Source organism: Homo sapiens, chromosome 12 (genome assembly GCF_000001405.40).
Source record: "Homo sapiens chromosome 12, GRCh38.p14 Primary Assembly".
NCBI classification, from domain to species: Eukaryota; Metazoa; Chordata; class Mammalia; order Primates; family Hominidae; genus Homo; species Homo sapiens.
The window spans coordinates 9142416-9154883 of NC_000012.12; the positions used below are offsets into that span (position 1 = coordinate 9142416).

Sequence of the window (12468 nt, forward strand, 5' to 3'; positions counted from 1 at the left end):
TGAAATTGCTTGATTAATAAATGCAAACAAAAATGTATGCTGGCAACTCTTAAAACATTTCTAATTTTACTGTGCCAGTAAGTTTTAAAGATTAAAGTCACGTGAACTGAAAGGTCCCATAGCTTTTACTTTTCCTCTAAAAATATTTGATTTAAGCACTTATTTTTCTTAGGCCAGTCAATTAGAGCTTTTTAAATAGACATTGCACACCTAACACATATATAGCCACACAGACAACCAGAAGAAAATCCAGTAGTTATAAGATTTTTTTTCTAATTTTCCAATTGGATTATTGGCCTTTGGGTGAGGCCCTTTAAGAACAGGGCTAGGAAAATAATTTCCAGGGCCTAATAAACAAGTAAAGCTGAGAGACAAAGACAGATTTTGAGAGGTACTTATTTACCTCTAATTCCAGGGGTTCCACAACGAAAACAAAGGTTTTTCCCCAAATGGGATTTGTGGCAACTTTTCTGTTTTCCCAAGGAATCCCAGGCCACCAGAAGTCATTTTAGGGTCTTTAATACCTGCACCAAGAGTGGCAAGAAAGAATGGAGAAAAGTAATTCAGTTGACTGGGAAAAAACCTTTTCCAGGAAAACAAGATTTATGAAGAGAAAAACATAAAGGCCTTTGAATATACTCATAGCTTGGACATCGATTTTAGTTAAGCTGAGTGCTCTTTTTCATCAGGGGTGAGGGTTGAGGTTAGAATTATGTAAATAATATACCAAGTTAAATTAAAGGATTGGGTTATGTGCAGGAATTCCCTGTGATAATGAGAGGGATTTTCAGAGAAAGATCCAAGGTGCTGTTTAATCTGTGACAAATCAGACATGGAGAAAGGGACATGAACACAAGCAATACCTTCGACCCTAGCCACTTCCCAGAGTAGGAGAAAGGCAGAGGTGGTTTGACTGGTTGAAGCAGTTTTTGAATGAGTAACAGGTGGAGAAGGAGGAAGAGTGGAGTTTGGGGCTGAGGGTTCGGACAGGCAAGAAGTGGATCCAGGGGGATGAGGATAGAGAGGGCATTCATCTGTAGGGTCAAAAGGGGTTTCAGAGGAAGGGGTTTAGAAGGAAGGAATTTCAGAGGAAGGAGAAACCTGGGGAGGGTTTTATTAAGAAGGATTTCATGAGGGGTGCAAGCTTGACACAGGGAGGGTCAGGATCTTAGGTAGAAGAAAGCCTGAATATTCAGGCAAGAACCTCCTGCCATTTGCTGTTCCTGGTTATAAAGTTGTCAAGGTCCCTGAGAATTTGAAAAATCAAAGGTGCCATTTTCGGGCCATTAGCTGTCATTATCTAATTTGCACTGGGGCCCGGCCACGTTGCAATAAAAAGCCAAACACTTTGGCTTTATGCTTCCCATAAGCCAAGTTTGGCAAGGCTGTGAAGGAGACAGCTCAGTGGAGAGGACATAGGAATTTTGGATTGTTGAGCACCTATGTGGACTGGTAAGAAGAAGCCTAGGGTGTCTGTTTTTGTTGTAGGTGTCCCCAGACAAAAGACAGAGACCCAGAATCCTCTTTCTAAAGAGAACAATTAAGCTGAGAAGAAACTGGGTGTCCCCAAGATTTCTTCTAGCCTAGTCCCACTGGTCCTCTGAGGATCAGGATGGCATACCTGACTTTCCCGGGTACCATGAGAAAGTCAGGGGAAGGCAGATCTTACCAGTTGGCTGGATTAGTGTCCAATATTGGATGTTCCAGTTGGAATTGGCAAAGGGCCTCTTGAACCAGAGCCACATGAGGAAGAGAGAGAGAGAGAGAGAGACAGAGAGAGACAGAGAGAAAGGAAAGTGAGGATGAGGGAGGAGGAGGGGACAAGTGTTAGAGAGCAAAATACCCACTGTGGGTGGTCAGAAGTGGTCAGGTCTCAGGACTCTGAGAGCCCACTGGAGAGTAGCCCCAGCCTGAGCCTCACAGTTCCCTTCAGGTTAGTTGTCCTGCTCATGTAAATCACTTGAAAAGTGAAGTAAGAGGCAAGATGGGGTGGTTGGCCAGAGACTCTCAGGATCCAGTGGGATGAGCTGCCACTGCCCACTGCTTCCTGGGTTGCAAGAGAGCCTCTACCCACAACACCCGTCCTGGGTTTTGGCACCAAATGTAAGAGTTAAAGAAAGAGGAAAGAAACACGATTAGTGGCTCAACAGTCAAAGACAGGTTTATTTTGGAGAATAAACCTGAGAGGGGCTTCTGGCCAATTTTAGTCAGGACCACTCTCTCTTACAGACTAAGAGTATTTAAGGGTTTTAGGGTGAGAGAGCTTATCACAGGCTTGGAATGTTTCTGTGTGGAGGAGAAGTTTATTGTGGGGTTGGAATGTCTCTGGTCAGAGGGAAAGTTATCTTGGGGCTGACATCTCTCTGGCCGGAGGGGAGGTTATCTTGGGGCAGGCATATCTCTGGTCGGGGAGGGTTTATTTTCGTGTTGGAATGTTTCTGGTCAGAGATGTCATTTGTGGTTTATGGTCATGCTGACGTTAGCCATTAGGCCAATGCCCTTTGGGGCAGTTTTTGATTAAGGGGAACTTTAAAATGCCAGTGCTTGTCCAAGATGATGATACTCCTGCCCTGTCACCTACTCTCTTGTGATTACCATTTGCATGGGATATCTTTTTCATCCCTTCACTTTCAGCCTATGTGTGTTCTTAAATCTAAAGTAAGTACCTTGTATATAGAATATATTTGGGTCTGTTTTTTTAACTTTTCAGTCACTATATGTGTTTTCATTGGGAGGTTTACTCAATTTGCATTTAAAGTAATTGTTGATAGGGGAAGATTTATTTTTGCCATGTTAGTTGTTTTATGTTAGCCTTGTAATTATTTTGTCTGTCTTTTCCTCTCTTCCTGTCTTCCTTGTGTTTTATTGTTTTTTTGTGTACCAATATACTTTGATTTTTAAATCTCTGTCTTTTGTGTAACTTTTATAGACTTTTTGGGGTTACCTTGGAGTCTACACAAAATATCTTGTAGTTATAGCAGTCTGTTTTAAGCTGATAACAACTTCAGTTTAATCACATACAAAAACTTTGCCCTTTATCATCTGTCCCTACACACTTTATTTTTGTGAAAATTGATATCTATTTTATGTTTTAAAACATATTTTAGTTTGTTATTTTTAATACTTTTCTCTTTTAACTTTTAACTGGAAGTAAAAGTGACTTACTAGCATTACAGTAATACAGTATCATGTGTTTTTCTTTATATTTGCCTTTGCCAATCAGTTTCATACCTTCTCTTGATATTGTGTTGCTGTTTAGTGTCCTTTTCTTTCAGTTGAAAAACTCTCTTTAGCATTTCTGGTAAGACAAATCTAGAGGTGATGAACTCCCTCAGCTTTCGTTTGTCTGAGAAAGTCTTTATTACTCCTCCATTTTTGATGGACAGGTTTCCCAGGTATAGTATTCTTGGTTAGCAGGTTTGTATTATTTTACCACTGTGAATAATTTCACTGCCTTCTGGACTGCAAATTTCTGCTGAAAAACCAGCTGATCATCTTATCAGGCATCTTGTCTATCTTACAAGTCACTGTTCTCTTATTGCTTTGAAAATTCTCTTTTACTTTTGATAATTTAATGATTATGTATTTTTATGTGGATTTCATTGGGTTCATCTTACTTAGTTATTTTTGAACCTGGATTCCATTTCCTTTTTCAGGTTGAGAAGGTTTTAGTCATTATTTCTATGAATAAGTTTTTTCTTTCTTTCTCTTTCTATTCTCCTTTTCTGACTCTCATAATTTGTATAATGGTCAATTTGATGGTGCTACATAAGTTCCTTAGGTTTTCTACACTTTTTATTTCTTTGTCTTTTTTTCTCTTCTGACTGAACTACTTCCAATGACTGGTGTTCAAATTAACTGATCTTTTCTTCTGCTTTATCTAGTTTGCTATTGAACTCTTATAGTGAATTTTTAAGTTACTGTGTTCTTCAGCTCAATGATTTCTGCTTGGTACCTTTTGATACTTTTTGTGGTTTTGTTGAAATTCTCACTGCTCATACATTGTTCTTTTGACTTCAGTGAGCATCTTTATGAGAATTATTTTGAATTCTCCATAAAGTAAATCACATAATTCCATTTCATTAGTGTTAATTTCTAGAATGTATTTTGTTCCTCTTTAAAGGAATATCTTTGCCTAATTCTTCATTTTCTTTGACTCTCTGTGTTGTTGCCTCTGCATTAGACAAAGGAAGGCACCTCTCCCATTCTTCACAGACTAGTCTTGTATAGGAGAAGGTTCCTATCAATCAGCCTTGTTGGAGGTTGTGGGAGATTCTAACAATCCTTTCTCTTCTCAGGGAGAAGCAGGAAGCTGTGGTTCTTGTCTGCTTGTTTTGTGATGAGCTAGGGGAGTTATAGTGTTCACCACTTCAAATCAATGCTGTCTTTCTCCCCCAGGCAGCCAGTCTGTGCTGGACCCATCAGAACTACCTGACTGGCAAGATAGGTGCCAATTCTTTGGTCAGCCACAGAGAAGTTGGAGTATTGGATGCAAAGATCAACTCTTTTCCCAGGCGGAAGTTGAGAGCTGGGATTTAAAAAAATCCATTTACTGTCTGCTAGCAAGGGGAAGGATTAATGGCATCTAGAATTCCAAGCTGCCACCTCCTTTCTTCCAAGGTGGGGCTAGACTGTGCAGACTCATCTGAGCTCCCCGACTGGCAAGGCAGATGTCAGTTGTTTGGGTATCTACAGAAAAGTTAGGGCATTAGACACATGGATCAACTCTTTCTCTCCCTAAGGGAAAGCTGAGAGCAGGAAATTTTTTGTCCACACACTCTGCTGACCAGGGAGAAGGATCTATAGTGCCTACCAGTCCAACTTGCCATCTTCATTCTCCTTCAAGCAGCTAGACTGTGCTTGTCCTGTCAGAACTCTATCACTGGCAAGATAGAAACCAGTTCTCTGGGGAGAACCCTCAGAAAAGTTAAGATGTGTGAAGTAACCCCTTCTCTCCCCTAAGAGAAGCTGGGAGCTAGGGGGCCTCTTTCTAATTGTATTATGCTATGCTGGGAGTGTTCTGAATCTTCTTTTTTCTGTTTTTTAGCCTCTCATAAGCCGTAGCATGTCCTGAATCTTACTGGCTTCGGTGAGTCTGCTTTTGCATTTGTTTAGGATACAGGAGTCTTTCAATTAGCCTTTGAATTTCTCACAAAGGGAATTTGTCCATGATTGTTACTAAACTGGTGTTCATGTGTGGGACAGGGGGGAAGCCTGGGGGAAGACCAGGGTTTCCTACTCTGTCATCTTGCTGACTTCACTTCTCCACTCATGTATCTTTCATCAGCCAGTTTCTTACTGTGTTATGGCTCCACTCTGGTATATCCACCCACCATTCTTCTATGACTCCTTGAACCCTTCAAGCTAAGTCTTCTGGAACTCAGAACCTATTATTAGCAAAATATCTTATAGCCTTCTCCAAATGTTGCCTTTATGTATGAATTTGAAGCATGTCTTCCTATTGAGACCTTGACTTGTTTTATGTCTCCATTAAGAGGTGACCAGTTTTTTTTTTCTCCCACACTACATTTATCCCTGTTTCTGTAGATAGGATAATGTCATTCTTGCCTCTTCTCAAATACTTGATTTTTTTTCTCTCCATAAAAGGCATTAACTACTCTCATGCCATTTGATTTTACCATCTGCTATACCTTTGTTTATTTTTAAATGATGTTTAAAAATTACTTTAGAAATTATTTTAAGCAGAAAAAATTGTGTATATTTACCATGTACAACGTTTTGAAATATATATTCATTGTAGAATGGTTAAGTCAAGCTAATTAACATGTACATTACTTCATATAGTTGTCATATGGTTAAACTCTACTCCTTAGCATTTTTCAAGAATACAATATGGTTAACTGTAGCCACCATGTCTCTTTCTATTAAAATAATCTATAGGATGCAGGTTACTCCCCTTTTATTCTTTGAAGATTTTAACCCTTGAGTCACTGCATCCTCACCACTGTTACTTTTATCTTTAAACTTATTAATTTTATTATCCATGTTTGTAGATGGTTTATCTAAATCCTTCACTCTCATCTCTTTATTTTTTTAATCCATATAATAATCTTATCCTAAAATGCACTTTAATTATCAATTCTCTAGATATTAGTTTTTCCTATAACAGCACTTCTCCTCATCTCAAACATCTCTTCTGATGTCTCTTCTTCTAATCTTCTGACCCTTCCAGTCCAGTTATATTACCACGTTTATATTATCTATCATCCCCTTATGTTCTCACCTTCCACCTTTCTCAACTGAATTTTCATTCAATTTCTTTACCTGCAACCTCCACTCTGCTTTCCTACTAGAATGCTAACCTATTAGAATCCAACCTTTGCACCAAAATTAAACAGAAAGAATATAACTCATCATGTGAACATGTTATTAATGTCTGATGAATGAATGATGCAACAAGTGATAGTTTGACCAGAAGTACATATTTATTCAGCAAATATTTTTAGTGTCTATTTTATAGAGACAAATAACTCCATTCCTTCTAAGTAAATGTATAGGACAGAGAATCCACCAAAATATACAGCCTGTATGGTCCTCAAACATTTCCATGCTCTGTATCTATGGAGAAAAGAAAAACGTAAGGAGGTTGTATCATTTCCTGAGGAGCATTCAGTTGAGTGTGGGCAGCAGAGTGAGCTTATGCAGGGTCAGGAAACTTTGTGAAAGGCCAGATGGTAATTATTTTAGGTTTATATGCCATGTGGTCTGTCATGACTAATCAGCACACAAAGGCAGCCATAGCCAATGTTAATAATAAGTGTGGCCATGTGCCAATAAAGCTTCATTTACAAAATTAAGTGTAAGGCTAGATTTGGTTTTAGGTGTGTGATTAGTTGACCATTGTGTTGAAGGAAGCCCAATTAGCTGTGAAGTGAAATGTCGCTTTTAGAGATAGCTGTCCTACAAATAAACAAAGCTTATTGACTTTTCTGGGAGTGAATATCTGAAATTGGAGAGTCCGCTACAGAATAGGCATGCTACGCCACAGTTTTGTCTTGGTGTGAGGACATGCCATGTGGATTGTCTCAGATGTAGGAAAAGCCTTGTAGAGAATTTAAATTGCAGGGGCCCTTGGAGAGTGGGTTAATGCCATCTAGTACTGGTCATAAGTGGTGAACTCTTACCTGTGCTGCAGGGGGCGATATACTCAGCAACCACAGACTCATCTGAAAGATAACGTTGGGTGAAGGAAGAAACGAAAGATCTATGAACTAGGGACCATGCTAAATCTGTCTAGTCACTTTACTACTGGAGAAAAGCACGCCCTATCAGAATTGTCAAAACTTCATGTAAATAGACAAGAATTAAACAGGATCATTAACATATTTATATTCTCTTTCCCTGAGACTGGAGATGGGGACTGAAGCCTGTTCAGATGGCAGCTGTTCAAATTTTAAATTCTTGGGAAGATGATCATAATTGCACTAACCTGTAGTTCTCTCTTCCATGACCTCTCTGCTTCTATTCACTTTGTTCAGCTTGCTCCCTTAATTACTTTTCAAAGATTATTGTTCCAGCTTGAAACACTCCTCCTACTTCTATAGACCCCCAAAACTCCACTCATCCTCTAGGATCCAAATCAGATCTTTCTTCCTGTTTGTTCTTCCTGAGCACCAGCCTTCTGTGCTGTTTTTGCCTCTCAAACTTATTGCTTAGCTCACTAACACTCATTTGTCACTAATAGTCTTTCCTGTTATGTAATATTTTTATCTGTATTATGTTATCTATGTCTCTAAACTACTTGAAAGCAGTGACTATATATTATCATTCTTTTTAATTCTTAAGTTTCTGACTCAAGAAACACTAATTGATAAATTTGTTCAGTAAGTTTTTGTTTTGTTTTGTGTTGTTTTTTCTTTTTTTTGAGACGGAGTCTCGCACCGTCACCTGGGCTGGAGTGCAATGGCGTGATCTCAGCTCACTGCAACCTCTGCCTCCCAGGCTTACACGATTCTCCTGCCTCAGCCTCCATAGTAGCTGGGATTACAGGCACACACCACCACACCCAGCTAATTTTTTGTATTTTTAGTAGAGATGGGGTTTTGCTATGTTGGCCAGACTGTAGTAAGTCGTTTTTATAGTGTACATCTTGGAGGAAAGAAACAAAAGATTAATGTTGACTAAGTGGGCTAAGAAGAGGATCAACTGTCACAACAGGATCCATTTCTTGGCTCTGGTTAAGATTGTTTCATTTTTCTTTCACTCACCTGTCTCATAGTAATCATAGACTTTAACAATTGCTGGCTTCAAGTCTCCTACTGGGATGTCTTGCAGAACCATGAAGGAAAAACTTAGCGTCTGATTTGTCACCTGAAAGGAAAAGTGGGAGTAATCAAGAACCTAGAAAACCTCCTTCTTTCTCCCATGAGCAAAACATATTCTTATTGTTCTTTGACTCTTTTTCACCAGTGTCTTTAGGTGACCAGACATTTGTGGATGTCAAGATGGGTTTTAGAATGCATCCTTGGGAACTCTATTTACAGTCAACAAATTTTCACAGATTTTCTTCTAAACAACTGAGCCAACCCTATTCTTTTGTAGTCCCTTGTTATGAGATTAACTCTCTGGGCCCATGTGAATGTGTTCTAAGCTGGAGAAACATGGTTTCATACAATCTGTAATTAAAACAACGAAGTATTCTTTCTGTTTGGATACATAAAACATTTTCTTTGTTTTATGGTCATATTTGATAATATTCATAAAATCCTCATTTTATTTTATGGTGACATTTTAGAATGTTAACATTATCATTAGGCAACCACTGGGGTCATATTTATTCATTTTGTGGAGGTGGTCTTTAAAATAACAGGAATGCATGATAACCTTTAGTCCTATTGATTTATCACTTCAAGTTTAATATTTATTCATATCGTCAGGGAGTGGGGCCTTTAAAACAACAGGAATACATGGTACACCTTTTTTCTATTGATTTTGTACTTTAAATTTCATAGAAATATTCATATTCCAATTTTAACACAATTAAAAATAGAACAGAACACTACATGGAGTTCAAAGGTTTCCCCTCTTATTCTTCTTGGAATAGATAAACCTTTCTGGAAGGGCATTACTAATGATTGTTTTCCTCATGTTACCGACTATTCTAGTAAAGAGACTCACTTAGAAAGACGACCCATATGTAGTCTCAGCCAGGATGTCAGAGCCCTCACCTGTTCCACATAAATGAGGACATGGTTGTTGCTCACTTCTGTCCGGCTCACAGAGCTAGATCTTTCAAGCTGGAGAGAATTAGAAAACTTCAGTTAAAGTTAGAGAACAGATGTGAGAATGGTGTGAGATCTAGAGCAGATTGTAATAAGGGACAAATGGTCATTCTCTGAAGAGAAGAAAGCTAATTGTTTTCAGGTCAGGAGTTCCACAATTCTTCAATATCCAAGTAACACATTAGAGCCTCTGGCATCTTTGATAATTTTAGTTCACGTTGATTTTTTTTCCTTCCCAAATTTTTAGTGCATATCAGTCAGTTTGGGATTTAAACCATATCCTATCTTTCTTGGGTGGTTTTATTGTTTTGTGCCCATGTGCTTTAAATTCCTGACTAAACTATGAGTGGCCTAAGGATAGGTACTCCTTGTGCATTTCTCTGGTATCACATATGTCCCTTAGCTTACGGCCAACTAAATAGTTCATTTACTTCCTGGGTTTGGGAAAAATATTTTTTTGAGGCAGGATGATGTTGACATGGTTTTGATATTGGTATGGTCTTAGTTTGGGGATACAGAACATACTTTTGTATGAAGTCTATTAGGATTAAAATACACCTACCATTTTTACTGTTGGTTTCAGGGGAATAAAACCAGATACCATCTTTACATCAACAATCACCATATTGGAAGCAGGACGGTTTCCTGTGTAACTGTAGTGTCAAAGGAAAAAGAATTTAGGGTTTTATACGTGAAAGAAAGCCAAATTTCTGCTTTCAAGCATCACTTTAAGCCTGTCTGTCTTCAAGAAGTTGTCCCTAATATTCTACAAAGGTCTGTGTTCCCTGGACTTGTGCAACACTGACATTGGACACATGCATATACATCAGATCTACCACTTGCTAAAATTACAGATGTTTAAGCATCACCCCAAAACTATCAAATCAAAATCTTTGGTAGTGAATCTTGCTAATTGGCATTTTTAACATATCTATGGTTTTTGCACACCTCACTATACAGTTCATTTGTTATTTAGTATATATTACTTTTATATTTTTAGTAGAGAAAGGATCACGTCATAATGATAAAAGCCTAAATTCATTTATAGATATATCAATTCTAAATTATATTAATCTAATAACATAGCTTCCAAATGGACTATTAATTTCTGTTAATTCCAAGTTGCTTTTGGGCCAAAGATAGGTGATTAGGTTAGAACGTCTTACCTGATGGTCAGTGAGATCTGAAAGCTGGTGTGGGCTTTGTGTCCATCGCAAGTTTGGGGCACAGTCTGCACTTTTAAAGCAAATGGGGAGTCCTCTTTCTCTGGAAGAATATTGTATTTCATGGATGTCTGTGAAACAGCAAAGACACTATCAGTTTCTCTCTTTTTCTGGACCCCTCACTTCCTCATTACTTAACGTCTCCAGAGGTGCCTTTTACTTTCCCAGGAAGGAAGGAACAGAGTTTCCATTTCAATTGGCAAGTTTAAAGTTGACTCTCACCCATATAAGCTTGGAGCCCTACCTGAAGATACACACATCTTTCCCCAGTTACTGTTATGACATATTCTCCAGGGAGCTCTGGCAATGAGATCTGCTGCAGTAATAGGAGGTTGTTGTTGTCTACTTGGAAATTTGTAGAAAAGGTCTGTGAATCCTGAACGGTGACCTGTGCAGTTTTCTCAGTTCTGGTGAAAGTGGCTGCTCCATACCTGGACAGGGCATGGAGAGCCACCACTGTGTCCTGGAAGAGACGAGTGGACAACCGCCCCAAAGAGTAAATTTTTGGCATCTGGGATTTTCCCCCAAAGTCTGTGTTAGCCTACCATGAGGGAAGCTGGCTTTTTACCCCTAAGGTAGATCTTCACTAATTACCTTTCCTTTTTCTCTGCCTTTCAGACATTATCAAAATCATGCTGCAGTTTCTCCAAATGAAATAAAAGGCTAATAATGTTTATTAATGTCACTGTTTATTTTCATTGACAGTCCTTTTGGATATGTCCTTCAAAGAATAGGTCTAAAACTAAGAAGTTAAGACAAAAATAGTGACCATTTTTAAGTAGATGATTGACCAGTTAGATGGAAGAGTGATAAAAATTTACTGTACATGAAAATGGTATGAGACAAGTTGCACTTTCTTGAGTTTCTTTTTACCTTCATCTAGCTTGTTTTTATTTACCCCACCTAATCTCTCTGAAAAACAAAAGTTTCACTATGGAGATCCTAACTGTTGAAAGAAGACATGTAGGAGGGAAAAGCCAGACACTCTGGGTGTTTAATACAATCATTTATACTCTCGATAAAATACTTTTAGAATTATGCTAGAAAAATACATTTTCAAGAGCTTCAGCTTAAAAAAGATCAACTTAAAGAGAAAGTAAGAAGAGCACTCTCAGGGAAAGTAGAAAGGAATGAAGAAGCTGAGTTCCTTGGAGTAGTTGAAATGGAACTTCTCATTCCAAAAAGATCAAAGTGGATTCTACTTAGTCACTGTACTTTTAATCACACATTTTTTGGGGAATACATCTTAGAGGATTTCTTGTTAGATTCTGAAGATGTCTGGAACATTGGTTCCCAACTGGAGGAAATTTTTTCTTGTTTCAACTGGAAGTGACGTGCTACTGGCATCTAATGGGGAGAGGCCAGGGATACTATTGAATATTTTATAAGGCTGAGGATAGTTCCTTTTACAACGATGATGTGGCTCGAAATGTCAATAGTGTTGATGCTGAAAAACTCTGGTCTAGAATGTGTCCAATGACCATAGCGTGGCTTTAGAGGGTAAAGATGCTCGTTGTACGTCTCCATGTTGCTAATATATTAACATAGGGCTTAGTGAAAAGTGTTATGGGGGATGTCTTAAGTCTTTCCTTTAAATTCTCATGGTCCTCAAATATTCCTAAATACTTCTTCAATGATTTAATAATTGCCTTCTCTTTTCCATTAACTGTTCTACTTTTAAGCCTCCCAATTGCCAAGTGAACCTGGAGCAGAAGACTCTTTGGGAACCACTGACCTGGGTGGAGGAGAAACCACCTTGGGCGTTCTGCTGCTTCATGATCCACTTCACAATGTTAGTTGCAGAGGTCAGGTCCCCTGAGGTGGGGGCTGGCTGGGCCGTGAGATAAGCGAGGAGCACATAGGATGTCATCTCCACCTCAGCAGAGGGAGCCTGGGTTTGGTAAAGATGCCCCACTGGTGCCTTGGGTCTCTGAGGGCGCTCCCAATGGACGAGGTTGTCTTAAGGGTGAGAAAAAGGAGATAATTGTAACTCATCAATAAGT

General features: G+C 38.7%; 2 protein-coding genes across 10 annotated transcripts in view; one reads left to right on the top strand and one right to left on the bottom strand.

The window, feature by feature from the left end:
• Positions 1-12468, top strand: part of KLRG1 (killer cell lectin like receptor G1) — a 265527-nt gene that overhangs the window by 192372 nt on the left and 60687 nt on the right. The gene's annotated exons all lie outside the window — the stretch shown is intronic.
• PZP (PZP alpha-2-macroglobulin like) overlaps positions 1-12468 on the bottom strand; it is a 71924-nt gene that overhangs the window by 5944 nt on the left and 53512 nt on the right. For 4 of the 8 annotated variants that reach the window (XM_047429274.1, XM_017019763.2, XM_047429276.1 and 1 more), the window contains 7 exons: positions 12201-12424; positions 10710-10928; positions 10409-10536; positions 9805-9895; positions 9189-9257; positions 8229-8331; positions 404-524 (listed from right to left, as the gene is read on the bottom strand). In XM_047429274.1, coding sequence (XP_047285230.1) covers positions 406-524; positions 8229-8331; positions 9189-9257; positions 9805-9895; positions 10409-10536; positions 10710-10928; positions 12201-12424 — 953 coding nt within the window. In that variant the 3' untranslated portion in view covers positions 404-405. Of the gene's footprint in view, positions 1-403; positions 525-6424; positions 7188-8228; positions 8332-9188; positions 9258-9804; positions 9896-10408; positions 10537-10709; positions 10929-12200; positions 12425-12468 lie in introns of those variants that run through there. The other 4 variants (NM_002864.3, XM_024449111.1, XM_017019764.2 and 1 more) reach the window with 3 other exon arrangements.